Below are 27,583 nucleotides of genomic sequence, written 5' to 3' on the forward strand. Positions count from 1 at the left end.
ACCCACCACTGCATTAAAGGTCCACTTAAGGCAGGCTTGACAATATTCCAGAAATAGTACTGTCCTAACGTAGTCAGCCACGGCAACCAAAATCCTTGGACAAAATGGCAGGAAGCAAGACCATTTTGGAATCAAGTGTCAGGCACCATGCCTAAGGGTACAGGCCACAGGGTTTACTAGATTGTTACTTCCTTTTTACTTTAGTATGAGGAAATACTCTGAAATAATTTAGTAAGTTCACATATCCTGAATACCTCTAGTTTTGCCAGTGAGAGCCACTACTAGTATCTATTATAATGATCAACAAGCTATGAATTTCAAAAATATATTTCACACATTTACTCTGCTGATTATCGAAATCTCTGGACGTGACTGAGATACAGATACGAAAAGCACTTGAAACCGCTGCTTTTGGTGTTTCTGTTTAGAACACTAGCTGTCCACTCCTGAGAGGGAAATTCTGTTAAAGCTAATGACTCCTCCTGGGGTGCTTGTAACCTGATTCTAGTATAAAAGCAGCACTGCCTATTCCAAAGAGAATGAAAGCAAATTACAAACATAATTGGGAAAAGAAAAAATACTATACACTCCGATTTCTCAGGACCCAATAGATTTTATTTCAGGTGGGGATAAGGGACAAGCAATGTGAAGACAGGGAAGGAAAGAAGGAAGTCTCTATGTTCTGAAGGACTGCCTACCCCACTGTTGAGAGTGCCACATTCTGCCCTTTTAGCAATTTTAATTAATTTTTACTAGGACTTTGGTAACACCACAGAAACCCTGTGGCTTCCTGTTAAAATGACTGTGTTACATGCCTTATTTTTATTAAAGTGGAATTTAACAAATACTTTTATTATTTTGAAGCATTTCATCAATTCTCGGTGGAAGCACTACATCATCGAATGGGAAATCAACAAATGAAAAATGAAAAAAAAGATTATCCATTCACAGTAAGCACCATTTTACTAGAAAGAGAGATAAACTTCAAAAAGACAGAACTAAAAGTCTTTAAATATAAGACTGTATTCTTCTATATACTACACATCAATTTGTAGTGGCACCAAAGTGTCGCCTGCTCTGCCTGAGGGAGCACTCCCCCTAGTGATTTTCCATAGGAAATAAAGTTAAACTTTTATTAAAGTAAAAATTCCTGGGTCAATTAGAACACAAATAAGGAGGAAATTCTTTATAAAATAAGTACCTTGATGTTAGGGTGACTTAGAAACAATTCATTAGTCTTTGAATTCTAAATAGCTGAAGACATGCAGCTAAAACAATAATTTTTATTTTAATTTTTTTTGTTTTTGAGACGGAGTCTTGCTCTGTCACCCAGGCTGGAGTGCAATGGTGCAATCTCGGCTCACTGCAACCCCCGCCTTCCAGTTTCAAGTGATTCTCTTGCCTCAGCCTCTCAAGTAGCTGGGATTACAGACACCCACCACCACACCCAGCTAATTTTTGTATTTTTAGTAGAGGTAGGGGTTTCACCATGTTGGCCAGGCTGATCTCGAACTTCCTGACCTCAGATGATCCCCCTGCCTCGGCTTCCCAAAATGCTGGGATTACAGGTGTGAGCCACCACTCCCGGCCTAAAATAATAGTTTTAAATGTACAAAAATATCCATCCTTACTGAGCTGATTTATATTTGTTTTAAATTCTTTTTAGATTCAACTTTTAAAAAATACATTAGGCCAGGCATGATAGCTCACGCCTGTAATCCCAGCCCTTTGGGAGGCCGAGGCGGGTGGATTGCTTGAGCTCAGGAGTTCAAGATTAGCCTAGGGAACATAGTAAAACCCCATCTCTACAAAAAATACAAAAATTAGCAGGGCATGGAGGCATGCACCTGTAGTCGTAGCTATTTGGGAAGCTGAGATGGGAGGATTGCTTGAGCCTAGGAGATTGAGGCTGGAGTGAACTGTAATCCTACAACTGTACTCCAGCCTGGGCAACAGAGCAAGATCTTGTCTCCAAAAATAAAAATAAAAAAACTGAGATCAAAATAAATTTAGAGCTAAATCATCAGAATTAAGTAGTGACTAATAAGATGCTAAAAGAAAATCTGAAATTGGAGAGTCTTTCATCTAACAGAGTTACTAAATGCCCATTATATGTTAGGCGCCGTTCTTTGTTCACACTAGTAACAAAAGACAAAAAATAACTATGCTATTTCACATTTAACAGTCCTTAGAATGTTGACTGATTAGATATTTTCCCAAGTATCTTTTAGGTTTGTTCTGTTCTTGGTGGTTATCTAAACAAAAAATACTCTGACAACATTTAGTAAATTCATTTGTTTCCTTCTTGAATACAAACATTTTAGAAAATTCCAACTTCTTTTGTAGTCACTGCTAAATTTTGTATGCTGAGATTGAGACACTTACTAGTTATCAGGTGCTGACCCTGGCCACCTCCCAGAATTGTCCATATGCCTGGGAAGCAGTGCCTGCCATTGTGCTGGAGTAGCCTCCTTGCAGCACACTTTGCTGTAATACTCTCCAAACCAATTTTCTCTAATGCTATGTGACCTATATTAAGGTAGGGCATTCCAATATATCCTCCAATTTTGGTGAATACAATTGAATGGTTCTCAACAATGAATAGTTTGGCACACTTTTATTTGGGGGAGGTGGGGTGGTCACAATGACTAGCATCAGTGGGTAAGGGCCAGAAAGGCTAAATGAATCCTGCAATGGGATGACAGGTTTTTATCCTAAAGAACTGTCTCACTCAAAAGGCCAATAGTGACTGTCCATGGAGGGACACTCAGCTGTTGTCACCTGGTACAGTAACAAAGACAGAAGCTTCACTTTACTCATGTAATTTTTTCTACTAGACAGGAAGATAATTTTTGCATTTTATTAAATATATTTATATGCCACAAAAATTATTTTAGTGACAACTACCAGGAAAGTACAAAATCACTTAATAACTGGTTTTCTACACCTTGATTTGTCAAGAAACTCATAAGCAAATGGAAAGTAGTAAGTACTGATTGCAGTTACTTACAGCAAACAGTTTTGAGAAGAAGAAGAAAACCTGTAACACTGAAAATTGCTTTATATCCCATTCATAGATCTCTTCAAAAGGTCTACTTTAAAAATAAATCACATAAAGAATTGTTCAGACTTGTTTGGTGATGCCTCAACTTCAGAACATTTGCAAGGAAATCACATGTAAAAGCAATCATCTCATACAATTAAATGCTATTAAAGAAAAAAAAAGTTTCCTTTAAAACAGTGGTTCCCAAAATTTAGCAGGCATCAGAATCTCCTGAGGGAAGCTTGTTAAAATACAGAATGCTGGCCTCCTCCCCAGAGTTTGCTACAAGTTTGCAGGCCATTCTGATGTTGGTGCGGGCACAACACTTTGAGAACCACTACTTTAAGATCTAGTCTCTAGAATTCAAACTAATAAGCAATGCCCATATGCCTTTGCTTTTTCTAATAATAAATAAATAAAAGATCATTTCAGGTAGCTGCATCAAACTTTAAGCCTTTAGACTTTTTTTTTTTTTTTTTTTGAGGCAGAGTTTTGCTCTTATTGCCTAGGCTGGAGTGCAATGGCGTCATCTCAGCTCACCACAACCTCCGCCTCCCGGGTTCAAGCAATTCTCCTGCCTCAGCCTCCCGAGTAGCTGGCATTACAGGCATGTGCCACCACGTCCGGCTAATTTTTTGTATTTTTAGTAGAGATGGGGTTTCTCCACGTTGGTCAGGCTGGTCTCGAACTCCTGACCTCAGGTGATCCGCCCACCTCGGCTTCCCAAAGTGCTGGGATTAAAGCCACCACACCCGGCCACCTTTAGACTCTTGAAATGTTACGCTGACTCACAATTATTCCCATGAGTTCAAAAGACAGAACTAAAGGACAGTCCTGAATAATCTATGACTACAGGAAAACATTTATTTACATGCCCTCTACAAAATGGATTTACAAAACATAGTAACTATTAGGGTACATGACCTTGCTCCTATCTTCCCCATTGTGCTTCTTCTCTATAGAAAATCCAATATGAAATGACAAAGAGTACTGTACTCAGAATAAGAACTTCATCTATCATAAATGTACACATAAATATCAGTGAATTGTCATACTCAAGACTCAGATTCAGGAACTTCTTCATCAGGGCAGCAGTAATATTCCACAAAACATATTTGTCCATCTTCATTTCTAATCATATACTGTAATGAAAGGAAGCCTCTGTTATCTGTCCGAATAGATACCTTACAAGATAGGACTAATGCCTTTGTAGAGGGTTTCAGTAAGGAAATCTTGTATCTGTAGAAGAAAAAATAAAACGCTGTTATATCAACACAGTGAACACTGCTCAGAACTCCCAAGTAAAGGATAAAAAGTAGCAAATCTAAGAATAAAATCAAGTACTTATCCAATTTGCTAATATTTTCTGTTTTAAAATTCATTCACTGTTAGAACCCTACATCCCCTAGTAAGTCCAGCACTCTACTATTCATTTTTATAAAATGCTGTGCATTTTAATTAACAGATTGAAAGTGTTTTTATTTAACAGAAATCTGGTATTTAACCTCCTCTTTATCACCAATGACAACCTCTATATTAAGAACTGACCTGTTGACTTGGGTCTGATTACAATGAAATGCTTCCATCAAATCAGAATCTTTGGGATAGTCAAGGTGGGAACTTCCTGCATTTCCAAAAGTAGATAACCTATAGAAAATGATTACCTCATTTATTCATTCATCCAAAAATAAACCACATTAGGATCCAAATAAAGAAAACACTTCCTTAAGAAATTCATACTAGTGGGTGAAACAGACATGTACACAAATGCTTATAACACACGATAACAAGTACCATAATAAAGCTCCCACTGGAGTTCAGGACAACTAATCAATGGGTTTGAAGAAAATCAATTGTAAAAGGAAAAGGGTAGGGGACACTTTAATTTCATTACCCTAATCCTACTCTGAAAATGACTTTTCCTCATCCTTAAGTCAGAAATATATAACAGGCGAGAGAATTGAGGACTCATGGAAGACCTTGATCTAAGTCTACTGCAACCCTTAGGTCTGTTCCCAATCCTACACCTAGGAATTACAGCTTTTCTGTATCTTAGACTGCTCTTAAGGCTATTGCATGGTTTTCCTCACTTGGTAATACCAGAAGTTATTTGTAGACAATTTATAAGTGTTAACATGCTGATTTAATTTGCAAGAACTCCTGGAACATTTGCTGCAGGATTAGCACGTTGCTAAGTATTATATGAGCATGGCGATAAGATCCAGGTTGGTTTTCCCTAAGCTCCATTTCTGCCTCCCATCTTCCAGGTGTGGTTTTCCTGGGGTCCATCTTTTCTTTCTTCTAATATAATCTCTCTCTCTGACCCGTCTCATCCATACCCAGCCATGATGATGGTTCCCAAATCTAAATTTCCAGTCTAAATGGATCTCCTGAGCACCATAACTACATATCCAGCCACTCCCTAGTGTCGCAGGTACTTAAAATTTAACATATCCAGGAAAAAATTTCAACTCCTACCTCCCTACCACCAAATTGTTTCCCATCCTGGAGATGAAAGATACCATGGTCCATCTCGTTACCCAGGCTGAGAGAGATCACTGAGGAGATCCCCTGAAATACTGTTTTAAGTACCTGAATTTTTTACTTCATTCCACTGCTAAAGTAAGGTTTCCAATTTCCATTTTGGTTAACTTTCTCAGACCTTGAGCCAAATTTTTAACTCCCCAAAGTCATGACAAGGGCCTGTGATTCTTTTTCTTTTCTTTTTTTTTTTTTGAGACAGATTCTCACTCTGTCACCCAGGCTGGAGTGCAGTGGCGCAATCTCAGCTCACCGCAACCTCCACTTCCTGGGTTCAAGTGATTCTCCCACCTCAGCCTCCCAAGTAGCTGGGATTATAGGCACGTGCCACCACGCCCAACTAATTTTTCTATTTTTAGTAGAGACAGGGTTTCACCACATTGGCCAGGCTGGTCTTGAACTCCTGACCTCAAGTGATCTGCCCACTTCGGCCTCCCAAAGTGCTGGGATTACAGGTGTCTGCCACAGCACTTTTACAGCCGGGCCTGTAATTCTTCTAAAGTAGTTACAAAAAGAATACCTTATTCCTTTTATTCCATATGTATTTAGGGGCTTTAATATTCTGAAATATTTCAAAAAGAGAATATTTAGATCCTCTCTCTAAATTGCTAGAATCTCTGAGTCTAATCCTGAAAAGAGACTTGTGTTAAACTATCAAGAACAGCTTTTTTGACATTGTACTCCTGCTGAAAACTGCCCTCCCTTGGGAAGCCAGCCTTGAGCAATCCTCCCTAAATCCTTATACAGCATTTCCCAGGTATCTGTGTGTGCTATCTTGGTACTTAATGGTTTGCTGTTTCACATTTTCTTGGCTTCACCTTGGTTTTAAGCTGTTCTTCCCACAATGCTTAATAAGATGAATAAGCACACGGTAGGTGATCAACAGATACTTAGTGAATGAATGAGCCACGTGTAGAAAACATCTTCTTCTGCATCCTGAACTAACTTGAAAAAGATACCATAATACAAACACCCTTTCCAAACACTTAAACCCAATTTTCCTCATGATGTAACCTGATCTATGAAAGTAAGGAGTAGTACAATGAAAACACCACCAGTTTATAAATTAGAGGACTGGGCTTCTCATCTAGATGCCACCACCACCTAAATATGAAATAGTGAGTTAATCTTCCTGGGTCTTAAGTTTCTTGATCCATAAAATTATGAGGTAAGAGTACAAGCTGTCTAAAGTTGTGAAAACTCTAAAAATGTGGATAATAAAAATTTTGCATCCTAAGCAAATGTCTAAGTGGGAAGATGGAGTACAGACCACATTAACTATAACTGCACTGCTCTCAAGTACCTGAAATAAGGCTTGTCAGGAGACATGGTAATTTGTAGGACTTCACTCGTCATATCCAATTCAGAAAATGCTTCACGGAGCCCCTCTGACTGCAGAATAATTTTATTAATAACATTGGTGCTGCAGAAATCAAAGTCCAGGGTCTCCTCAGGTTCCTGTGTATTGATTTTGCAGACTGTCACCACTCCTCCTTCTTCCAGGAACAGCATCAAAGGGTAACCATAACCTTGGTAACACATTCGAAGTGCAGTTAAAGTCCCTGCAATGGAAAGAAGTCATACTTGGCCTTAGCTTTATAGTTCTGGGTTCAGCTTCTCCTCGAAATGATACATAAAATTTCTCAAGAATAATTTATTCCGCCCAATTTCTCACATATATGTATCTCCTCATAAAAAGGGATGACATCTTCCCTGATGACAGTTGTGTGTAGAGAATTCCAAAACTACAAGAAAATTGGGAACCAGAACAAAATGTAACATAATTCTTTGGAATCATTTTCAGGTTGTCATACACACCTCAGAAATAGCTTGTTGATTTTATATATGTACAATTTCAGGGTAGAGAATCTATATGGATCAACACAGCAAGTAACTAAATTGCTGCAGAACAGGGTATGCTATTCCTTGAAGGTTCAATGTGTGTAACAGTGGATTGCTGTCATCTGTACTGTAACGTCAGTGTACTCACTATGACAAGGATCCTTCCAACTTTTCCAACTGGGAGATATTCTTTATATTTCCTCGAATTTAAAAATCAAATTGAGAGAAAAAGAGGGTTGTTAATGGTGGTGTAAATTTTAACTCTGCAAACCACTAGAGGGAAGGAGGAATATGACAGGATATTCAAACTCCTTCTCCTTACTGGATTGAGAGCCACAGTGAGGAATGGAAGATGACAGATGCTTCTGTGAAAAACTAGCTGGAGAACACTGTATTAGAAAATGTATAATTAATAATAGTGGAATTGTCTGTGGAAACGTAAAATACATTTTTCTGGAGAACTATATTGAATTTTTCCTAGCTAATCTCCAGGTTGCTTTCCTATGAAATAAAATCATTCTTCTGGGGATTCCTTAGTTTTATACCCACAGCAATTCAATTTCACCATTCTTAAAAATTCCCTTAACAAATAAAAAAATATATATTTTAAAGAAAATCATTCGGCAACCGGTTGCGGTGGCTTATGCCTGTAATCCCAGAACTTAGAGAGACTGAGGCGGGCAGATCACCTGAGGTCAGGAGTTTGAGACCAGCCTGGCTAATATGGTGAAACCCCATCTCTACTAAAAATACAAAAAATTAGCCGGGCGTGGTGGCACGTGCCTGTAATCCCAGCTACTCGGGAGGCTGAGGCAGAAGAATCACTTGAACCCGGGAGGCAGAGGTTGCAGTGAGCTGAGACTGTGCCATTGTACTGCAGCTTGGGCAACAAGAGAGAAACTCTGTCTCAAAAACACCACAAAATCATTTGGCAAAATAGACATAACTTATAAAATATGGCTTAAAAGAAACAAATTTTGAACATAGTAAACTAGGAGTCAGAACTGGCTTTTGTTTTTCTCTGCCACTAACTAGCGGAGTAATTCTGGACAAGTTAGGAAAAAGAAGCAATTAAAACATTTCACAATGCTAAAAATATTTAAGACATGTCCAAAGTATTCTTTTGGCCAGTTCGAATTTACAATCCCTCAAAGCCTTGTAAATTAAAAAAAAAATGCAAATACTTTTACAAATATGAAAAGAATTATAAACACACTTGCAATTAACATTGTGAAATGTTAGAACCCATGACTGTGGCCACTGAAAAATGAATTGGCATTAGCTTTCTGAACCAATGTTTATGTTCCAAATAACTTCCTGTATTTTTCTGACCACTATGTATAACACTTTTATGTCTTTATACTGATCATAGTTTACCTGGCATAGGACTTGATCCAAAAATAGATAAACAGTCTAAAAGGACAGTTAAATTAATTCGAAAAGTAACAGACTCTTCCTGAACTTTAAACTCCTGAAATATTCCAGCCTATGAAAAGAGTAAAAATGAAAATTGTTACATAAAAGAATAAAAACTAATAATATAAGGTCCTAGATTTCACTTTATACGTTTAAAAAATACAATACTGTGCTAATCCCATGAGAATAATTTCTGATTAGCAATCAAAACATCTTAGAGACATCCTTTGAAGCATCCTTATCTCCATTCCTGGATCTAAAACTATCCCTCTGTGACTCTCCCTTGTCTCGTTTTTGTGCCTATCACTACTGCTAAGGTCACTTGGAAAATAGACGAATGACTTGATAATGCATGAGCAACATTAGTTTCAACTTTTATTATGATTTTTTATTGATACGGGGGTCTCACTATGATTACCCAGGCTGGTCTTTAATGCCTGAGCTCAAGCGATCTTCGTGCTTCAGCCTCGGTCTCCTGAGCAGCTGGAAATACAGGTGTGAGCCACCATACCATGCCCCTGCATGAGGACAAGAACCGTGTCTTATTTACCTCTCTATCCCTGAGATCATGCTGTGCACTTACGTGTTAAAAAACGCTTAGTTGAACTTGCAATCCTATCTGAACCACACAAATATTACTTTGGAAGAACAAAAATTCTATTACAACCAGTAAAGGAAAAAAATACTCTTTAGTAATAGCATATCGCAGTGGAAAAAAGAGCATATATTCTGGAAACAAATATTCAGCGTTCTTATCCCAATTCAGCCACTTACCAGCTGTGGGACTGTTGGCAAATCACTTAAAATTGTGCCTCGTTTCCACATATATAAAACGGGAATAATAACAGAACCTACCTTACAGGACTATTGTTAAGATTAAATAAGTTAAACAATAAGAAGACTGTAGCCTAGCCAATAGCCTAGTTTAATAAACTTTAGTCATTACTAACCATTATCTCTGTAAAACAAGATGGGAAAAGAATTTGTTACCGGGAGAGAAAAAAAATTCAAGTAATGACGTTTTGTTCTCTAACTTAAGACTATTATTTATTTATTAAGTTATTTATTATGACTATTGACAAGTTATTATGACTATTAAGTTATTTTGTCTACTGAAACCTTCCGATTTCATTAAATTACATTTAGAGTATCTATGGCACAGGCTTAAAGGCGCCTACTTCCATACCTGAATAAAAGCATTTGCTTGCACACACTTTGCATTTTCCACTGTTACTTTGATACCATTTTTAGTTGCGAAACACGTGGCATGTTCTCGGAAATGAATAGCTTTCAAGATAGTGGAGAGATTCCTAACGTTGTCAAGGCTGGCCACAAGGCTGTACTGATCATCCTCGTCTTGGATCTGTTGGGTCAGAAGGGGCATCGTCCACTGCGCATTCGGCCCCGAGGGATGCTCCTGGGGCCAACAACTTCTCGGCGGATCGCCAAACACCTGAAGGGATTAGACAGTAAAACTCCCATCAGTGCTGGCGAGGTCCGGCGAGCTCCACCTGCGCTGAGAGGTGGAAAGGGGCTGGGAGGCTGAACACGGCTGACCAGGCCGAACCCCACCTATGTCACTTAACTATCTTTGTAATTCTGGAGGAAAATTATCTAAGCTACGGTTTCCTCGTCTCCGTAAGAGGACAATAACGTGAAAAGTTGTGAAGAATGAAGACACGCAACTGACACGGTATCTCCCGGCCAAACAGGAGCTACAAATCCGCGGGGAGTCGGTTTTGTGCAGCCCGCGCCACCAGCCCCGCCTCCAACAAAACAGGCGATGGCGGGGCGGGCCCGGAGTGTCCAGATAATCCTCCAAGAGTCCCAGACAACCCCATTCACCAGCCCGCCCGCGGGACAGCATCGCTTACTAGTCTCGGGGTCCCCGAGTGCGGAAACCCTACCTTTGCGGTGGGGTCTGGACGCCCGAGAGCCCTTCTCAGCAAAGTCCCTGAAGAGGAGCGAGGCGGCTCCGAGGAACCGCGGAGGAAGTGAAGCCAGTCCCGCCACTCTTCAGACCGGCCCTCCACCTCGGCCACCGTCACCACAGAGCTGAAGGAGGCCTAGAGAGCCGCGCGTGCCGCGCCACCGAGACCGGAAGGAGGCGGCACAGACCTGGAGGACGACCGCGGAGCTGAGCGCTTAGAGCCGCCGAACCATAGAGATCGGAAATAGGAGCGAGCGGCAGCGCCGGAAAGGAGGCCAAGAGCGCGGGCGGCGAGGCAAGATGGCGGCAACCAAGAGGAAACGGCGTGGAGGCTTTGCAGTTCAGGCGAAGAAGCCAAAAAGAAACGAAATAGATGCGGAGCCGCCAGCTAAGCGGCACGCCACAGCAGAGGAGGTGGAGGAAGAAGAGAGGGACCGGATCCCAGGCCCCGTTTGCAAGGTAGGAGGGGATGTCCCCGGGCTACACCTGCGGCGGCGGCTCTGTGCGCCTTTTCTTGGGTTACTTACTTGACTACAGCCTTGCTTAATTTCAGAGTAGCCCGGGTGTTAACGGTAGGTCGGTTTTAGCAATTCTCCCGGCCAGACTGGGCACGGAGTTTGCAGCTAATCCTTGTGCACGTGGCCGTCTTCCTGGAGGCGGCGGGTTTTAAAACCTTTACCCGGCCCACGGGGAAGCGACTTACAGGGTGCTCAGATCCAGCGTTCTTTCTTACTAGTTGTTCAGTTGTTTTTTTTTTTTAATGTTTTTGGAGAGTAGTGCTTTTCCTTGGTTATTTCTCGCTATTATTTCTCCAGTGATTAGTATGCCCATATACTGCCATAGTCAGCCACTCTCAGTCAGGGATCCTGAAGTACGTTAGGGGAGCCTTTAAAAAGTTGTTGCCCTTGGGACTGTGACTCTGACTTGTTAACCAGGTCATTAACTCAAGAGATACTGAAAAATAGACTAGGTAGTATGAGCTTTACTTGTATTCAACAGACATTGAATGTGCCATGCACTGTACCAAGTTAGGCTTCCTTTGGGTTTGAGATTGCAAAGATGACTAGAATGTGACCTCTTCCTCCTGAAATGTTGGAGTTTAGGAGGAAACTTAAGAATTCAAATAAGTTGATGGTTTTTATTCAAAAGAAGTGCACACAAGTTGTTAGAATTAGCTTTCATTCAACTAAGAACTCTTCTTAAGCTAGACAGAATACTGTGAACAAGGATTATCTTTGACATTAATTTTTGCGTCCTCCGCACTTAGCATAGTACTCTAGCGCGGAGTAGGTGATAAGTAAATGACCCCGTGTGGTGTGATGGCAAGCTCTAAGAAAGAAGTGAGCTCTGTGGAATGAAAGATAAGTGTAAATTCTAGCCCCGTTATTAACAGCAACATTCTGTGCTCTTTTCTGACCTGCAGATTGGGGGGCAGGGGGAGGGAATATTTACTTTTTATGAAAAATAAGCTGGACTTGTACACTTCCAGTAAATGTTAGTGTTCTCACTCTTCCCTTGAGCTAGGTAGTATCTATAATCTGAGCCATACTTCGATACATTCTATGGAAGTGCAGGAGATATAGATTATTTTTACCCTAGTATAATAAGATAAAGAATCATGAAGGATTTAGCCCGTAAGCTGCATATCAGAGGAAGTGTAGAATTTTGACATTCAAAAAATGAGAGGGAACACTCCAAGGGAGAAAAAAAAACCGATGAAAGACTTTGAAGTAGGGAAATGCTGAAAAATGTAAAAAATAGAGCCAGATTGGATTGCATTAGGCTTCATTTGGGGCAATAATGATGTAGACGTGAAAATCTATTTTAAAATTCAGTGTCAAAGCTATGTCATTTGAACTTTGTTTAGAAAACTCTGGGAAGTAAGGATGTGATGGAAGTATTACTTTAAAAATGGTCCAGCGTGGTGGCTCACGCCTGTAATCCCAGCACTTTGGGAGGCCGAGGCGGGTGGATCACTAGGTCAGGAGTTCAAGACCAGCCTGGCCAAGATGGTGAAACCCCGTCTCTACTAACACTACAAAAAAAAAAAAATCAGCCAGGTGCAGTGGCGGGCACCTGTAATCCCAGCTACTCGGGAGTCTGAGGCAGGAGAATCGCTTGAACCCGGGAGGTGGAGGTTGCAGTGAGCCGAGATCGCGCCACTGCACTCCAGCCTGGGTGACAGAGTGAGACTCCATCTCAAACAAACAAACAAAAAAAGTAAACTGTTGAAAAAGCTAGTCAACCATATCTATTGGAGGTGCTCATGTCTGGGAAGGTTAGCCATTTAGGAGTTTTGCAGTTAATATAAGACTCTAAGTAAGTGCAGTGTGAATAAGAAAGGATTAAGAGTTGTGGGAAATTATTATGAGACATCTGTCATGGAGAGCACAGAAATAAGAGGGCTAAGAAAGAACTTTTAGGGTTGGAAGGAGGAATTGGAGAGATTGAAGTTGAAAAACAAAGAAACCAAGGAGGGCATTTCTGGGTGGCAGATGTGGTCAGTGAATGTTGGTGAGAGATGAAATTAAAGGAGTCAGGATGGTTTGACTTGGTTATGAGCTACTTGGAAGCTCATAAAAAACAAACAGGGCCAGGTGCGGTGGTTCTTACCTATAATCCCAGCGCTTTGGGAGGCCAAGCCACTTGAGCCCAGGTGTTGGAGACCAGCCTGGGCAACATAGGGAGACTCCCATCTCTACAAAAAAAAAAAAAAAAAAAACTAGCTGGACATGGTGGCACATGCCTGTAGTCTCCAGCTACTGTAGATGCTGGGGTGGGAGGATCACTTACTTGAGCCCAGGAACTTGAAACTGCAGTGAGCCGTGAGCACTTCAGCCTGGGCAACAGTGTGAGACCCTGTCACAAAACAAGATCAGTTCAGTATAAGATTTTAAAATCTTTTAACATTTTCTTTTTCTTTAGGGAAAGTGGAAAAATAAGGAACGGATTCTCATCTTTTCTTCCAGAGGAATAAATTTTAGAACAAGACATTTAATGCAGGACTTGAGAATGTTGATGCCTCATTCTAAAGCAGGTGCCTTTATATCATATACTTTAGAAATTTCTATCTATAAACTTACCTATTTTTATGTTTTCACTTATTTTATATATTCTTCATTTGTTCAGTGTTCTCACGAAAAAAACACAATGCCTTTTATCCTTTCAAGTGCCACAATTTTTCCAGTTAACATTTCGTAAGAAATTCTTTAGATTTCATTAGGTAGATTCTTTACTTTTTAAAACAGGTGTCCTAATATTATTGAAACATTTCTTGAAGGTCCAGGAATGCCTTCACTGTAATGCTTCTGAAGGTCCTGAGATAGGTGGGATGGTTTGTCCTAAGTGCTAAGGACTGCCACATGTTGCTTTTTGGGCCTTTTTTTTTTTTTTTTTAACTGTTTTTATTGAAAAATGGACCTGGGATAGAATTCAAAGCACTTTTTAAGTTGGAGTCAGAGCCTATTTCTAAATGCCAGGTTATTTATTTATTTTTAAGCAGTGGGTTATTTTACAGGCAAGAACAGTATGGCCGGGCATGGTAGCTCATGCCTGTAATCCCAGCACTTTGGGAGGCCGAGGTGGGTGGAACACTTGAGTCCAGGAGTTCCAGACCATCCTGGGCAACATGGTGAAACCCTGTCTCTACAAAATAAAAAAAAAAAAAAATGAAAAAAGTAAAGTAAATTAGCCAAGTGAGGGGGTCACTTGCCTGCAGTCCCAGCTACTCAGGAGTCTCAAGCAGGAGGATGGCTTGAGCCCAGGAGTTCAAGGCTGTCATGAGCCGTGATTGCGCCACTACATTTCAGCCTGGGCAAGGAGCAAGACCCTGTCTCAAAAAAAAAAAAAAAAAAAAAAAAAAGTTTGGAACAGTGGAGTGGCAGCGCCATCATATGGCTGTTGTTGTGCTTATGTTGAGAGGTGCTTTGGGGTTTTTTTGTTTTTTGTTTTTTATTTTTAAAATTTTAACTTATTTTAGATTCAAGGAGTATATGTGCAGGTTTGTTACACGGGCATAAAGTCAGTTTTCTTTGACACCTAAGATTAAAAAGTGAAAGATATTTTCATTGAAACTGGTTTCCTTTAACACAGTCTTTGGTTTGTGAGAATTTTCCCATTTTTGAAAAGGATTCCTAGAATACCTAAATATTGAGAAACACTGCTTACACTATAATTTCTAATTCTTACAGACTATATTTTACTTATTTTCTTTACATTTACAAAGAGTCAAGATTTTTGAGCGATTGTTTCCAGCTCTTGTTTTGAAAATTAGTAATAAAATCTCCTTTAAACTGAAGAGTGTAAAAACACTTTATTTTCTGGATAGCATATGTGGTTTGATTGAAATAACTTTGAAATCACCTTTAATTTACTTGCTTTTTCTTTTTTTTCTTTTTCTAGATACTAAAATGGATCGTAAGGATAAGCTATTTGTGATTAACGAGGTAATTTTGGAAAGTAATTGCAACAAAATATTTTTAAAATGTTAACAGTGGCTTATTTCAAAACTAAGTCATTCAGTGACTTTAAAAATTATTTTGTAAAAACTATTCAGACACATTTTATTAACTCTTCAATAACTGGTCTTCCAAATTTTTATCTCTCACAGTTTAGTGCTTCATTCATTTCTGTTTGTTTTGTCTGAACAAGCATATTGAAATTTCCTCAGGAGAAGGATTATGTCCCATTTTTTAACCCTGTAGTGTCTAGTATTATGCTAAATCCATAGTAGGTACTCAAAAAATTATCAGTCAACATATATAAAGTAAAATAAGTCCATTAAACATATATATATATAAAACCCACATGGTAAAAAGTGTTTTGCCAGTATTAAAAGTGATTTGTGTGGAACTGGCTATTAAGGTATTACAAACTGAATAGGTTACATTTTCAAAGTATTGTTTAAGATACTACACTTAGGTATTTTTTTTAACCTCTGGAAGCACAGAACATAAATTTACATTTTAAAGCAAAATTTTCAAAACTTAGAAGAATTAGGATCATTTTTTCACTATTAGCCTTCTTTAGAGCACAAATTTTTGAACCTCTGCTGTAATACCACATTATTCTATGTGCTGTAGAAACTGTTCAACAGAGCAATGTCCCTGTCATTATGGAACTTACATTCTAATGGAGACAGGCCATAAACAAGGTTTATAATTTCAAGTAAAGACAGGAGAAATAAAGCAGGTTATAGGTTTTGGACAGCTGAGGCTACACCGGAAAAACCTGTTCAAAGGGATGGTGTTTAATATTTGAGCAGAGACGTAGTGAAGGAGAAATATGGTAAAAGACCATCTAGCTAGAGAAAATGGCAACTACAAAAGCCCAGAAGTGGCACAAACTTCCTATTTTTGTGTTTATTCTAAGACCAGTAAGAAACAAAAGTTTTGTTTTTTTTTTTTAAGTTGTTAGGGTTTGTTTATTTGTTTAACTGGTTTTGGAGACAAAAGTCTCTCTCTGTTACCCAGGCTGGAGTGAAGTGGTATGATCTCAGCTCACTGCAGCCTCTGCTTCCTGGGTTTAAGCAATTCTCCTGCCTCAGCCTCCCGAGTAGCTGGGACGACAGGCACACGCCAGTATGCCCAGCTAATTTTTTGTATTTTTAGTAGAGATGGAGCTTTGCCAGGTTGCTCAGACAATTCACCTACCTCGGCCTCCCAAAGTGCTGGGGTTATAGGCATGAGCCACCTCATCCAGCCATAAGTTGTTAGGTTTAAAGTCTTAAATAATGTGGAGTTTAAGAGTACTATATTAATTAGAGTTTATGAATACTACAGTAATACAAGCCTTCACTCCTGTAATGTTTTTGTGTCTTCTCAAGTGTGACTTTTGTAAGCCTTCAAGACATTGAAGTTTAATTTGAAATAGGTTTGATATACTTAGGCTTTTCACCCAATCCCTTAGTGATTTTATAGAACCAAATCACCAGAAATGATAGTATAAATGAAGAACAACTTAAGTTTTGTGATCTTAGAATCAAAAAGCTAAAAAGTTAAAAATCAAAATAATCATTAAAAAGGATGTTTTTAGTTCTATAAGTACTGCATTTTCATAAGATTGGCTAAGAAGATTGATTATGAAGGATTAACATAAGAAGATTAGTTGTGGTATGCTTTATCCGTAGGGCATCTATTTTTAGTCTTTGTAGTTTGTCAATGGGACTATGGGCAGAAGAGGTTCCTGGCCAGGTGAGGTGGCTCACACCTGTAATCCCACCACTTTGGGAGGCTGAGGCAGGCAGATCACCTGAGGTTGGGAGTTCAAGACCAGCCAGACCAACATGGAGAAACCCCATCTCTACTAAAAATACAAAATTAGCGGGGTGTGATGGCACAGGCCTGTAATATCCCGGCTACTCCGGAGGCTGAAGCAGGAGAATCATTTGAACCTGGGAGGTGGAGGTTGCGGCGAGCCGAGATCGTGCCATTGCACTCCAGCCTGGGCAACAAGAGCGAAACTGCATCGCAAAAAAAAAAAAAAAAAAAAGGAGGGAGGTTTCCAGTAATCAGAAGTGAGACCATTTTAGATGCTAGGCCCAAAAATATGATAGATAATTTCACCCAAGATATGGGCAGAGCATCTAGTTTACCTTGGGTAGAATACCTAAGAGGAACTTTAAAGGTTCCTTCTGTGAATAAATACATGTTTAGGCCTTTGTAGCCTATTAGCCTGGTTAGGTATTTTTGAGATAATCTGGATGATATTAATCACATATAATTACTTTAGTTCTCATTTATATTATCTACTTCATTTTCCTATACTTTGCTTCCTTTAGGTTTGTGAAATGAAGAACTGTAATAAATGCATCTATTTTGAAGCTAAGAAAAAACAGGATCTCTATATGTGGTAAGAGAATGTATTAAGATTTTGGTTAAACTCATTTAAGTGGATTTGTTCTTTGTACCTTTTATGTTATAGACTCCTAGTGTTTCATGTTAAGGGTTGAGAATGAAGCAAACTTTTGATTTCACGAAACTTGATACCTTTAAAGAAAATTAAATGTATAAATATTATAAGCATATTATTTATGGTGAATAGGTGGTAAGCATTGACTACATTTGCTAATTAGTTGAAAAAGCTTACTCCATATCTTTCAGGCTTTCAAATTCACCTCACGGACCATCTGCTAAATTCCTTGTTCAAAATAGTAAGTTGACTCAATAAATTTTTTTAGATGAGGAAATTAAAAGTAATCTTTTGAAATAGTTGTGCAAAAGTTACAACTATTTTTGTTTTTGTTGTAATTTTTCTAGTTCATACCCTCGCTGAACTGAAGATGACTGGAAACTGTTTGAAAGGTTCTCGGCCCCTTTTGTCTTTTGACCCTGTAAGTTTCTCATTCAGTGTATGAGGTCTAATTTTCTTATCTGGCATGGTTGTTTTTAGTAGATATAGTTGTGTTATTCAATTTAGTTTCACCCCCACCTTGGTTTTATGGATTATCAATTCTTTCAGGTACATTTATAATGAGGTTATAGCCAAGTTATAGAAACAAATGAGCAAACAGTTTTAAACAAGGCAGTCTACTGTTAAATAATATGCTTACCTTATTTTTATAGGCTTTTGATGAATTACCACATTATGCTTTGTTAAAAGAACTCTTAATTCAGGTAAATATCTTTAAAATTAGCTATCCAAAATATACATGATATATCTTGGAATAAGGAACTAACATACACTTTTTTAACTAGATCTTTAGTACACCACGGTATCATCCCAAAAGCCAACCATTTGTGGACCACGTGTTTACTTTCACCATTTTGGATAATAGGATATGGTTTCGGAACTTTCAGGTAAGCTTTACTTGATTTTTAATTATACCTTTTTTTTAATTGAGTTTATTTATTTATGTTTTGAGACAGAGTCTCGCTCTTGTTGCCCAGGCTGGACTGCAGTGGCACAATCTTGGCTCACTGCAACCTCCACCTCCCGGGTTCAAGCTTCTGCTCCCTCAGTCTCCTGAGTAGCTGGGATTACAAGCACCCATCATCACGCCTGGCTAATTTTTGTAGTTTTAGTAGAGACGGGGTTTCGCCATGTTGGCCAGGCTGGTCTCAAACTCCTGACCTCAGGCCATCTGCCCGCCTTGGCCTCCCAAAGTGCTGGGATTCCAGGCGTGAGCCACTACACCCGGCCTAATTTTTTTTTTTAGAGATAGAGTGTCGCAGTGTTGCCTAGGTTGGCCTTGAACCTCCTGGCCTCAAATCATTCCTCCTCAGCATCTTGAGTAGGTGGGATTGCAGTTGTGAGCCACTGTGCCTGGTCAATTTTTAGTTAAACTTTTAGATAAGGATATACAGGGTTTGCATACACAAAAAATGCAAATAATTCTTTTGTTTTAAATAGCTTCCTTTTCCCTAAAGAGATTGCTGCAAGTAACTATGTACTGTCTTATATCTTAAGTGAGCTCTACCTACTTCTATTCATGACTGTTAGTTGATACAGAGTATGGATTTCCTAATAAGCCATTATATATTTAACTTTATAGAAAGGGAATAACTTGAAGATCCATGAGATACTTGGGTTCCTAATTTGTAGAAAGTGCTGTAAAGGATACAGTAAAATAGAAGTTTCTCTCTCAAAGCTTAGAAGTTTCTCTCTCAAAGCACCTCAAAGGTTAAGACCTAGCAAAATGTAATTGCTCTAGAAGGCATTCAATGGCAGCGGTTAGATGATGAGTCACACAGTGACTCATTCAGGAGAAAAGAGGAGGTGACTCTAGAAATCTTGAAGCAGGAGTTTGGCACGATAAGTGCAGAAAGATGAAGAGGTGGAAGAGAACAGCAAGAACAAAATTTTAGACAGTATATGACATAAACTGAGCTCTTTTCTGCATATTTTATATTGGATACCTGGCATGTGAGTTGAACACATCATCCTAACCTCTGAGGGTAGACATGCCTGAACTAATAGATAACATAAATATTTGTTGTTCGGAAGTTGCCTTTTAATTCCATAATCAGTAGCTATTAAATAAATTTGACTACATATCCTTTTAATCTAACTTGAATTAGATTTATAAAAACAATTTAGGGATTGATTTAAGTTTCAAGAGTTCCCCCATAATGTGCTTTAATACATTTTGTTAATAGTGGTTACTGTTTTAAAATCCTGTTTAACCAGTTTTTCAAGGATATATGCATTGTGACAAGCAAGATGTGAACCAAAATCTAATTACTCAATTTTAAAAGAACTCACTGAAAAAACATTTTTCCATGACAACTTCCTATAAGTACTAATAGATTTCAGAAAATATTGATGATTTGCCATTTACCAAGTTTCACCCCCACCTTGATTTTATGGATTATCAATTATTTCAGGCACATTTATAATGAGGTTATAGCCAGTATACCTTTTGGGAATAACGTAACCAAACCAAAATGAAATGTTTCCTTTTTATTAAAGATCATAGAAGAAGATGCTGCTCTTGTAGAAATAGGACCTCGTTTTGTCTTAAATCTCATAAAGATTTTCCAGGGAAGTTTTGGAGGACCAACTTTATATGAAAATCCTCACTACCAGTCACCAAACATGGTAAGCGGTTGTGTCATTCAGTAGTCTTCAATGTACCAGAACCCTTTGGCCAAAATGATTCTGTGAAGTAATTGCTGTTTTATTACCTGTGAAACTGAATTTGGTTTTTGCTGCATAGAAACTTGGAAATTACTCCCTTTTTTCATGACACTGGCTGAAAGGATATATGGTTCATAACTGAAAGTCTTTGCCTTATATAAAATGTTTATTTTTATTTCAAAAGCATCTAATCTTTTTTTTTTTTTTTTAGCATCGGCGTGTCATAAGATCCATCACAGCTGCAAAATACAGAGAGAAACAGCAAGTGAAAGATGTGCAAAAACTGAGAAAGAAAGAGCCGAAGACTCTTCTTCCACATGATCCCACTGCAGATGTTTTTGTAACACCAGCTGAGGAGAAACCAATAGAAATACAGTGGGTAAAACCAGAGCCAAAAGTTGATTTGAAAGCAAGAAAGAAACGGATTTACAAAAGGCAAAGAAAAATGAAACAGAGGATGGACAGTGGGAAAACAAAATAAGTCAATGGAAACCTGATTTGTTTTTCAGTTACTTTATATTTATTTTGTATTCAATGTGTAAATACTTTTATTATCTAATACTATCTTACGTCTAATTAGTGTAGCATTTACAAGAAAGAAAAATTAAGATCTTAAAATCAGTGATTATCTTTTTCTAAATAAAATATCACCAGAATTCATCAGTTAATTTCTGATTTCTTTTTGAAGTTTGTGTTGCTAAAAATGTAGCACACTTAATGTAGCCTGTTCTCTTGGGTTGGAATTTTTGGTTTAGCAAAGCTGAAATTCAGACATTTATTAGGTCATATTATTTGTAAAAGCATTCAACACTTCAAGAGCATCGGTTGTGGATGGTAAAGTAGGAGTAGACTGGTAGAAAGGAAGGCATCTCACTGAAGTTTACTCAGTCATCAGTTAATGAAGCCATGGAAGAACCAACCCCTGATCTGTCACTTCAAAAAAGAGTATATTAAAATGTTGAGGTTTTGAGAATCAAATGCATTAATGGCTGTGTTGAAAGCACTTTGTAAATTTTTTATTTTATTATATTTTATTTGTGAGACGGAGTTTCGCTCTTGTTGCCCAGGCTGGAGTGCAATGGCGCGATCTCGGTTCACCGCAACCTCCACCTCCCTGGTTCAAGTGATTCTCCTGCCTCAGCCTCCCGAGTAGCTGGGATTACACGCATGTGCCACCACGCCCAACTAATTTGTATTTTTAGTAGAGTTGGGGTTTCTCCATGTTGGTCAGGCTGGTCTCGAACTCCTGACCTCAGGTGATCTGCCCACCTCGGCCTCCCAAAGTGCTTGGATTACAGGCATGAGCCACCATGCCCGGCCAAATGACATACTTATTTTAGAAGCAGTGTGTATAGATTACTTATTTAGAAAACTAATAGTAAAAGGAGAGAAAAATAGGACAGTTGTTAAAGGGGATACCAGAACATTTGAATTTTTCCCCACATGAAAGAGAAACTGCCTATTGTGTAAGGGGGCACTAGGCTTAAGATCTTATGGGTAAATTAGTAACGGAAAGAAAAGATTCTGAGTACCAGTGACCATGGAGGTAGGTGGCTGCTGACATGGACAGATAGAAATACAATAAAATATATATCTAATGAAATGACACATGCTGTTTCATCACCTGCTTTTTTGACTTCACACTGATTGTTTTTCTATGTGTTTGTTCCACATGTTTACTTGCTAACTGTTAACTGTAGTATTCTGTGTACCATAGCTATGTAATCAGTATTTTCAGTTTTTCCTCTTTTTTTTGCTGGTATCGATGCTTGTAGTGAATACTTATATAGATGTGTTACATGTCTTTTTACACAACACTTGGTTTCCTAGAAGTGCAACTTAGGTTAAAGATTATGAACTCTAGGCTTTTTGCTTGTTCCCTCCACCACCATAACCTCACTAGAGGCTATTAGAGGGTTCATTTCCTTGTCCCCTTACCAGTTTCACTATGCATGAAAGAATCTGTCAATTCAATAGGTTAAAAAAAAAAAACCACCTTTTTTTTTTTTTAGTTACTGGTTTATCCTTTTTGACTGGACTAATCATGTTTGTTTTTCTGTGGTAGGATTGTCTTTTACTGATTCTATAAGTGCTTTTATATAGTAAGTTTATTATAGAGATCTTTCCTAGTTCACTTACATTTTAATTTTATGTCTTTATTATTTTAAGTATTTAGGCAGAATGATCAATATTGATGGTTTTTTTTTCCTTAAATTTTTTGCTAAGAACGGCCTTCCTGAGTGCTTAATTGGCCTTGAAATAGTCTAAATTAGGAAACTTGAAATCTTGAAGTCATCTAAATTATGCAGGTAATTCAGGTGAGAGGATCACTTGAAATACTTGTATGTGACTAGGGCCAAATCTAGTTAAATGGAAAAAAACCAAAGTGGCCGTTATTTTATTTAGGCAGTTGAATATAGTCTTGGATAAAAATAAGACAGCCGTATTCAGAATTTGTTTTTAAACACCCACATCTCAGGAACAAGTTAATTATAGGTTATAAACTAGATCAACAAATTGTAAGTTTTAGTAGAGATACAAACTTGTACTTTTGATGTGTGCATTGTGGAGTTTTGGTGTAATTTCCAATTTCACAATTTTCAATTAACAGTTTCCATAATAGAGATATCCTTATATCTCAAATTCCCTTTCACAATTATATGGATATCTTATTTGAGAATTCTTCTGGAATGGATCATCTCTAAAGTCTGGTCATTTAAAGGGCACCAGTTTAATAAAAGATGTTCCTTTATTTATTAGCGGCAGGGTCTTGCTCTGTCACCCAGGGCTGTAGTGTGGTGGTGTGGTCATAGCTCACTGCAGGCTCTAACTCCTGGGCTCAAGTATTCCTGCCTCAGCCTCCTGAGTAACTAGGACTACAGGCCCACGCCACCATGCCTGGCTTTTTTTTTTTTTTGTAGAGACAAGTTCTCGCTATGTTGCCCAGGCTCGTCTTGAACTCTTGGGCTGAAGGGATCCTCCTGCCTCGGCTTCCCAAAGTGCTGGGATTACAGGCATGAGCCACCACGCCTGGTCAAGATGTTCCTTTAGACTGAAATTTATATCCAGCATAGTTACCTTTAATTATACAATGTTACAGGCAAAAATCCTTCTTACTTCAGAAGGTAAAAGAAGTAAGTGATTCCTACAGGCTGTATCCAAAACCAAATCAAGTTGGAGGGAGAAAATACTCCAAATTAAGTTGGAGGGAAAAAAATACTTTCCCTTTCCGTTTTTTTTTTTTTTTTTGTCCCTCCCTTCCCCCCGCCCACCATCCCAATTCTGTTCTCAGGAGGGGAAAGGTTTCATTCTCCCCCAAACTCAGACTTCTCAATCCTTATCCATTACCAATTTACCAACTAACTGAGACTGTGTAGAATCTTCCTCTGGAAAAAAGGGAAGTGTATGAATTCTGAGTAGTGAGTTGGTTGGTCAGTGGCGTGTGAAGTAACCTGATGAAGCTTAGCGTGGGTTTTTTATTTTACTGGGGGCAGCATATTGGGGAAGAGAAGGATAACCTTACTAAACCGCTTGGGTACGCCAACCCTGTGCAATAGATATTAGCAACATAGCTAACCATACATGGTTAGTAAATACAACCCACACCTAACTGATGCATGTAAACATTCCACATTACAGTGAAATATATTGGTGTATTAATGCATTTTAATAATTATGGTATTATTTTGATACCTTTCAAAGTGTTTGGAATAATTGTGCAGATAGTCAGATCAACCAAAACCTACCAGTTAAATACTATCCTTTAACTGCTTTCTTAACCTAAACCAATCTTGGAAAGGTAGGATTAGAGGCCAGAAAGTTAGGATTAAAGTGTGTTGGATGGATAGATCAGCACAATTTCATCCATGTTGGTGGTAAGGCTTTTCATTAAGTGTGTTGATGCTTCCCTTTTAAATTGTTTCCGCTTAAATAATCTAACTGTCCTTTCTCAAGCATATTGGTCAAGATGATCAATACCAGATATCTTAAGTGGCAGCTGAAGAGAATTAAAGAGATTAAAAAAAAAACCTGATATTCAGTCCAACCGAATTCTGCTACTGTATTAGCTGAGGAGGCTTGAGCCAACCACTTGACCACTTGGAGTCTGAATCGCCTTATCTATAAAAACGGGGATCCATTGAGAAATTATAATCAGATATTTTCCAGAATCCTCTCCCATCCCAGCTCCTATCTCCCCCTTCAGCCCTCAGGTCGGCTGCCACTCACACTGACCGCCATCTGTGCCCCTCACAATGACACCAGCGTGGCCCTGCCTCCCTTCCGCGCGGCCCCGCCTCTCGCCCCGCCGAGGCCCCGCCTCTCACACCAAGGTCCCGCCTTCCTCCTGTTCTTCCCGGCCAAGGCCTACCTTCCTCCCACGCGGCCCGCCTCTTTCCCCGCCAAGCTCCCGCCTTTCTCCTGCGCGGCCCGCCTCTCTCCTCGCCAAGGCCCCGCCTTCCTTCCTCGGGGCCTCGCCTCTCACCCCGCCGAGGCCCCACCCCCTCCCGCGCGGCCCTTTCCGGCACAGAGCCCACCCCTAGCCCATGCGAAGCGGCGGCCGCCGGCACCGCCCCCGCCGCGCTCCCGCTTGCCGCAGCCTGCGTCGTCTGCCGCCACCGCGCGCCTTCACTGACCTACACCACCGCCGCCGCCGCCGCCGCCGCCGGGCTCGCTGGCTGGCCCGGTGCGGGCGGCGGACTCCCGCCGGAGAGGACTGCCAGCGCCGCCGCCGCCGCCGCTTCGGCCCGGGCCCGGGCCCCGACCCCGTCCCGGGCCCCAGCGCCGGCCGCCCGCCCGGTCGGGCGATGAAGTGTCACTATGAGGCGCTGGGGGTGCGGCGCGACGCCAGCGAGGAGGAGCTCAAGAAGGCCTATCGGAAGCTGGCCCTGAAATGGCACCCGGGTAAGTACCTGTCCCGCAGCCCCCGCGGCCACTCGGAGAAGCCCGGCCCTCCCCGACCTTCCCTTCCCCCGGGCGGACTCCGCGGAGCCAGCAGAGAGGGACCTGGCGGCCTAGGAGCTCCTTGCCCCGCCCGGCCAGTGCCCGGAGCCGCCCTGCCCGTCTCGGTGGGCGAAGCGCTCTGCCCTGGCGCACCCCGGCTCACACCCCATCTCCTCATACCCGCGACCCCGGCCCCGCATCGCCACTGTAGGGGGAAAACTGCAGTCCAACAACCTCACTTGCTCCCGCTACCGGGTCGCAGACACCACGAGGGAGCAGTCGGGAACTCGGAACTCAGACCTGCCCCAGGCTTGCTTTTCCCTGCGTCCCTTGCAGCGCAGCCTCTCGGTGTTTTTCCTCCGCTGCCCTCCACCTCGTCCGGGAATCCCAGATACTTCAACCTGATGTATGGCTCTTTTCGTTTCTTAGTTAAGAAGTTAAGACACGGGAGCTAGTAAAATATCTTTTCAATAGGGATGCGCTTTTTTCGCTGTTTTTTTTTTCTTTTAATAAGCTGTTTAAGCAGACCTTGTACTTCACTTTGGACATGATTCTGCCGGGGAAGGTTTTAATCAGGCGGCTTCCCCAGTAAAGTTTGTATGTTTACTTAGAAGTATCCTTCCTTTGGATGTTTCATTGGTCTGTAATCCAGGCCTGTGTGACTTTTATGAAGTAATCTGATCTTCCAGGCTGGGAAACTAAGAGAGTAGTTGACTTTCAGCTTTTTGAGGTTCATATGAAGAGGCTTTCATATTAGCATTCATCAGTAAACACGGTTACAGAGTATCCAATATATGCAAGTCACTGCACTCTACTAAGTAGATTTGGAAATGCTGAGACAGGGGTCTTAGAGTCTTGTTAGGAAAACAACTTTCTGCCTTACACAAATGAAAAGTTAAATACAACTGCCAGAAAAAAATCGCAACATACATAATTGGTGGTTAGATTAATGGAACAACTAATATATGCTCCAGGAATTCAGGGAGGGAGTTACCATTTTGTATTGAGTCTTCCCCTTCTCAGAGGAGTTTGGACTGGATCGTAGAGGAATGCAATTTGGAAAAGTGAACTCAACAGTATGGAGGATAGCATGGTGGAGGACAAAAGATGTTCCGGGGGACAGTTTGACTGAAGGTGGTGTGTATTGCAGGTCTGAAAAATAGGGATTATGAGAGGAGTGGAAGGAAAGGTCAGGGACCCAAAGTCAAAAGGGAATGGCTATGGTGATGGAGTGAGAGATAGAGGTGTGGGTCTGTTACTTAAAGTTATGCTTACCAACAGAGGCGTGAAAAAATGTGATTATAAATATATTAGAAGAGCAGAAGTAAATGAACTGATGTTCATCATAGCAGTAAGTCAGAAGATACAGCCAAAATTAATAAATGTAAAAATAGTGTAGAAGTATATTCTTAGAGTTTGGGTTAGTGTAGAAGCATATTCTTAGGAGTTTGGGTTGTTACTGTTAGAAATCAAGTTAGGAATTAGAAGGAAGTTCGGAATTCCTTGACTTTCTAGGTGGGAAAGGGTAAATGAAGTAGCGAATGCTGTGACCAAAAGCGTATGTAATTTTCTGAAGAGTGATTTTAAATCAGATTGTATTTCTTGAGTACAAGAGTAGTTTGAAATCAGATTGTATTTCTTGTAATCTTGAATATTAGCCCAAGGACTGTGAAATTTGCTTCGCTAAATAAGGGAGAGTTGTGGCTGGTTTTATTAAGCTGCCATGGGAGAGTACTATGAAGGCAACTTAGTGGATTGAAGAGGGCTGGAGACAGAAGTTAGGGAGAGTCCGCAGTGGACAGACAGGTAAGGGCCCAAGCCAGGCTTGGGGTCAGCGGGAGGGGGAAAGCGCAAGGGGAGGAGATGTTGGGAAGGAAAAATGACCAGATTTGGTGATTAATTAGAAATCAGTGCTAGGAAGAAGCATGCAAATATGACTAAAGTATCAGTTAACTCCTTTGAAACCAAACCTGTTAGGAACTGAATGCAAATATCTTCTCTAAATATCATCATAATTTATGGCATCAGTGTGATGGTATCTGAGAATGGGCAGCAGGAAGCCCTGAAGAGCCATGTTCTAGGGCGGCAAAACTATTTGTAGATAAGACATTGCTGTCATGTTTTCTTGTAACTTCTTAGAAGGGAAGTATTGAGCTGTAGCTTAAAGAACTTTAGTGTGCTCCGGCCAGGTGCGGTGACTCACACCTGTAATCCCAGCACTTTGAGGGGCTGAGGTGGGCGGATCACCTGAGGTCAGGAGATGGAGACCATCCTGGCCAACATGGTGAAACCCT

General features: G+C 40.1%; 4 protein-coding genes and 1 long non-coding RNA gene across 16 annotated transcripts in view, besides 11 other annotated features; 3 read left to right on the top strand and 2 right to left on the bottom strand.

The window, feature by feature from the left end:
- The window catches only part of TTC23L (tetratricopeptide repeat domain 23 like), an 86,519-nt gene extending 65,503 nt beyond the window's left edge, over positions 1-21,016 (top strand). For 2 of the 3 annotated variants that reach the window (NR_169875.1, NR_169876.1), the window contains exons 8-16: positions 13,698-13,809; positions 15,174-15,217; positions 17,551-17,621; positions 17,873-17,922; positions 18,029-18,102; positions 18,335-18,385; positions 18,467-18,568; positions 20,181-20,309; positions 20,560-21,016. Coding sequence is in view for 1 of the 3 variants with exons in the window: in NM_001386170.1 (NP_001373099.1) it covers positions 865-928 (64 nt within the window). In the remaining 2 variants the exon portion in view is untranslated. Of the gene's footprint in view, positions 1-864; positions 1,148-13,697; positions 13,810-15,173; positions 15,218-17,550; positions 17,622-17,872; positions 17,923-18,028; positions 18,103-18,334; positions 18,386-18,466; positions 18,569-20,180; positions 20,310-20,559 lie in introns of those variants that run through there. The other variant, NM_001386170.1, reaches the window with a different exon arrangement.
- On the bottom strand, positions 594-10,838 carry RAD1 (RAD1 checkpoint DNA exonuclease). 2 transcript variants are annotated; one of them, NM_002853.4, is made up of 6 exons: positions 10,750-10,838; positions 10,029-10,295; positions 8,804-8,912; positions 6,888-7,146; positions 4,592-4,690; positions 594-4,282 (listed from the first exon to the last, which is right to left on the bottom strand). In NM_002853.4, the coding sequence occupies exons 2-6, from the start codon at positions 10,224-10,226 to the stop codon at positions 4,099-4,101; spliced, it is 849 nt and encodes a 282-aa protein (NP_002844.1). In that variant the 5' UTR covers positions 10,227-10,295; positions 10,750-10,838; the 3' UTR covers positions 594-4,098. The 2 variants fall into 2 exon arrangements, 1 of the variants encoding a protein (NP_002844.1); NR_026591.2 differs by lacking the exon at positions 8,804-8,912.
- Positions 10,422-11,027: an enhancer, noted in NCBI's record as "NANOG-H3K27ac-H3K4me1 hESC enhancer chr5:34915193-34915798 (GRCh37/hg19 assembly coordinates)". NCBI's record gives its function as "activates a minimal SCP1, AML or CMV promoter by ChIP-STARR-seq in primed H9 embryonic stem cells {active_cell/tissue: H9 hESC(primed)}" and the evidence as "EXISTENCE:reporter gene assay evidence [ECO:0000049][PMID:30033119]".
- Positions 10,422-11,633: a biological region, named in NCBI's record as "NANOG-H3K27ac-H3K4me1 hESC enhancers GRCh37_chr5:34915193-34915798 and GRCh37_chr5:34915799-34916404".
- Positions 10,474-10,533: an enhancer, noted in NCBI's record as "active region_22467". NCBI's record gives its function as "activates an Ori minimal core promoter by ATAC-STARR-seq in GM12878 lymphoblastoid cells {active_cell/tissue: GM12878}" and the evidence as "EXISTENCE:reporter gene assay evidence [ECO:0000049][PMID:35858748]".
- Positions 10,554-11,453: an enhancer, noted in NCBI's record as "active region_22468". NCBI's record gives its function as "activates an Ori minimal core promoter by ATAC-STARR-seq in GM12878 lymphoblastoid cells {active_cell/tissue: GM12878}" and the evidence as "EXISTENCE:reporter gene assay evidence [ECO:0000049][PMID:35858748]".
- Positions 11,028-11,633: an enhancer, noted in NCBI's record as "NANOG-H3K27ac-H3K4me1 hESC enhancer chr5:34915799-34916404 (GRCh37/hg19 assembly coordinates)". NCBI's record gives its function as "activates a minimal SCP1, AML or CMV promoter by ChIP-STARR-seq in primed H9 embryonic stem cells {active_cell/tissue: H9 hESC(primed)}" and the evidence as "EXISTENCE:reporter gene assay evidence [ECO:0000049][PMID:30033119]".
- Positions 11,045-21,330, top strand: BRIX1 (biogenesis of ribosomes BRX1). Its single transcript, NM_018321.4, has 10 exons — positions 11,045-11,231; positions 13,698-13,809; positions 15,174-15,217; positions 17,551-17,621; positions 17,873-17,922; positions 18,029-18,102; positions 18,335-18,385; positions 18,467-18,568; positions 20,181-20,309; positions 20,560-21,330. Exons 1-10 carry the CDS (start codon positions 11,073-11,075, stop codon positions 20,827-20,829), a joined length of 1,062 nt encoding a protein of 353 aa, NP_060791.3. The 5' UTR covers positions 11,045-11,072; the 3' UTR covers positions 20,830-21,330.
- Positions 18,047-19,246: an enhancer, noted in NCBI's record as "MED14-independent group 3 enhancer chr5:34922818-34924017 (GRCh37/hg19 assembly coordinates)". NCBI's record gives its function as "activates an origin of replication core promoter dependent on BRD2, BRD4, P300/CBP and CDK7 cofactors, and independent of MED14, by STARR-seq in HCT116 cells {active_cell/tissue: HCT116}" and the evidence as "EXISTENCE:reporter gene assay evidence [ECO:0000049][PMID:35650434]".
- LOC124900961 (uncharacterized) lies at positions 20,846-25,015 on the bottom strand. The gene is made up of 2 exons (XR_007058731.1): positions 24,983-25,015; positions 20,846-24,467 (listed from the first exon to the last, which is right to left on the bottom strand). It is a non-coding gene; the product is annotated as an uncharacterized LOC124900961 (long non-coding RNA).
- Positions 24,569-25,038: a silencer, noted in NCBI's record as "silent region_15967". NCBI's record gives its function as "represses an Ori minimal core promoter by ATAC-STARR-seq in GM12878 lymphoblastoid cells {active_cell/tissue: GM12878}" and the evidence as "EXISTENCE:reporter gene assay evidence [ECO:0000049][PMID:35858748]".
- The window catches only part of DNAJC21 (DnaJ heat shock protein family (Hsp40) member C21), a 29,406-nt gene continuing 26,715 nt past the window's right edge, over positions 24,893-27,583 (top strand). For 8 of the 9 annotated variants that reach the window (XM_011513965.3, NM_001348420.2, NM_194283.4 and 5 more), the window contains exon 1: positions 24,893-25,250. In XM_011513965.3, the coding sequence (XP_011512267.2) occupies positions 24,893-25,250 (358 nt within the window). Of the gene's footprint in view, positions 25,696-27,583 lie in introns of all 9 variants that reach the window. The other variant, XM_047416722.1, reaches the window with a different exon arrangement.
- Positions 25,049-25,118: a silencer, noted in NCBI's record as "silent region_15968". NCBI's record gives its function as "represses an Ori minimal core promoter by ATAC-STARR-seq in GM12878 lymphoblastoid cells {active_cell/tissue: GM12878}" and the evidence as "EXISTENCE:reporter gene assay evidence [ECO:0000049][PMID:35858748]".
- Positions 25,149-25,348: a silencer, noted in NCBI's record as "silent region_15969". NCBI's record gives its function as "represses an Ori minimal core promoter by ATAC-STARR-seq in GM12878 lymphoblastoid cells {active_cell/tissue: GM12878}" and the evidence as "EXISTENCE:reporter gene assay evidence [ECO:0000049][PMID:35858748]".
- Positions 25,377-26,022: an enhancer, noted in NCBI's record as "H3K27ac hESC enhancer chr5:34930148-34930793 (GRCh37/hg19 assembly coordinates)". NCBI's record gives its function as "activates a minimal SCP1, AML or CMV promoter by ChIP-STARR-seq in primed H9 embryonic stem cells {active_cell/tissue: H9 hESC(primed)}" and the evidence as "EXISTENCE:reporter gene assay evidence [ECO:0000049][PMID:30033119]".
- Positions 25,489-25,658: an enhancer, noted in NCBI's record as "active region_22469". NCBI's record gives its function as "activates an Ori minimal core promoter by ATAC-STARR-seq in GM12878 lymphoblastoid cells {active_cell/tissue: GM12878}" and the evidence as "EXISTENCE:reporter gene assay evidence [ECO:0000049][PMID:35858748]".

The sequence above is a fragment of the Homo sapiens genome, chromosome 5, assembly GCF_000001405.40.
Source record: "Homo sapiens chromosome 5, GRCh38.p14 Primary Assembly".
Lineage (NCBI taxonomy): Eukaryota > Metazoa > Chordata > Mammalia > Primates > Hominidae > Homo > Homo sapiens.

Excerpts from the sequence above, each read along its gene's own strand:
- RAD1 (NM_002853.4), bottom strand. The coding sequence starts at position 10,226 with ATGCCCCTTCTGACCCAACAGATCCAAGACGAGGATGATCAGTACAGC. Across the intron at positions 4,691-6,887 it reads CCTGACAAGCCTTATTTCAG|GTTATCTACTTTTGGAAATG; the intron begins GTACTTGAGAGC and ends CATTTTCTATAG. Across the intron at positions 4,283-4,591 it reads AATCAGACCCAAGTCAACAG|ATACAAGATTTCCTTACTGA; the intron begins GTCAGTTCTTAA and ends TTTCTTCTACAG.
- BRIX1 (NM_018321.4), top strand. The coding sequence starts at position 11,073 with ATGGCGGCAACCAAGAGGAAACGGCGTGGAGGCTTTGCAGTTCAGGCG. Across the intron at positions 11,232-13,697 it reads TCCCAGGCCCCGTTTGCAAG|GGAAAGTGGAAAAATAAGGA; the intron begins GTAGGAGGGGAT and ends CTTTTTCTTTAG. Across the intron at positions 17,923-18,028 it reads TAAATTCCTTGTTCAAAATA|TTCATACCCTCGCTGAACTG; the intron begins GTAAGTTGACTC and ends TAATTTTTCTAG.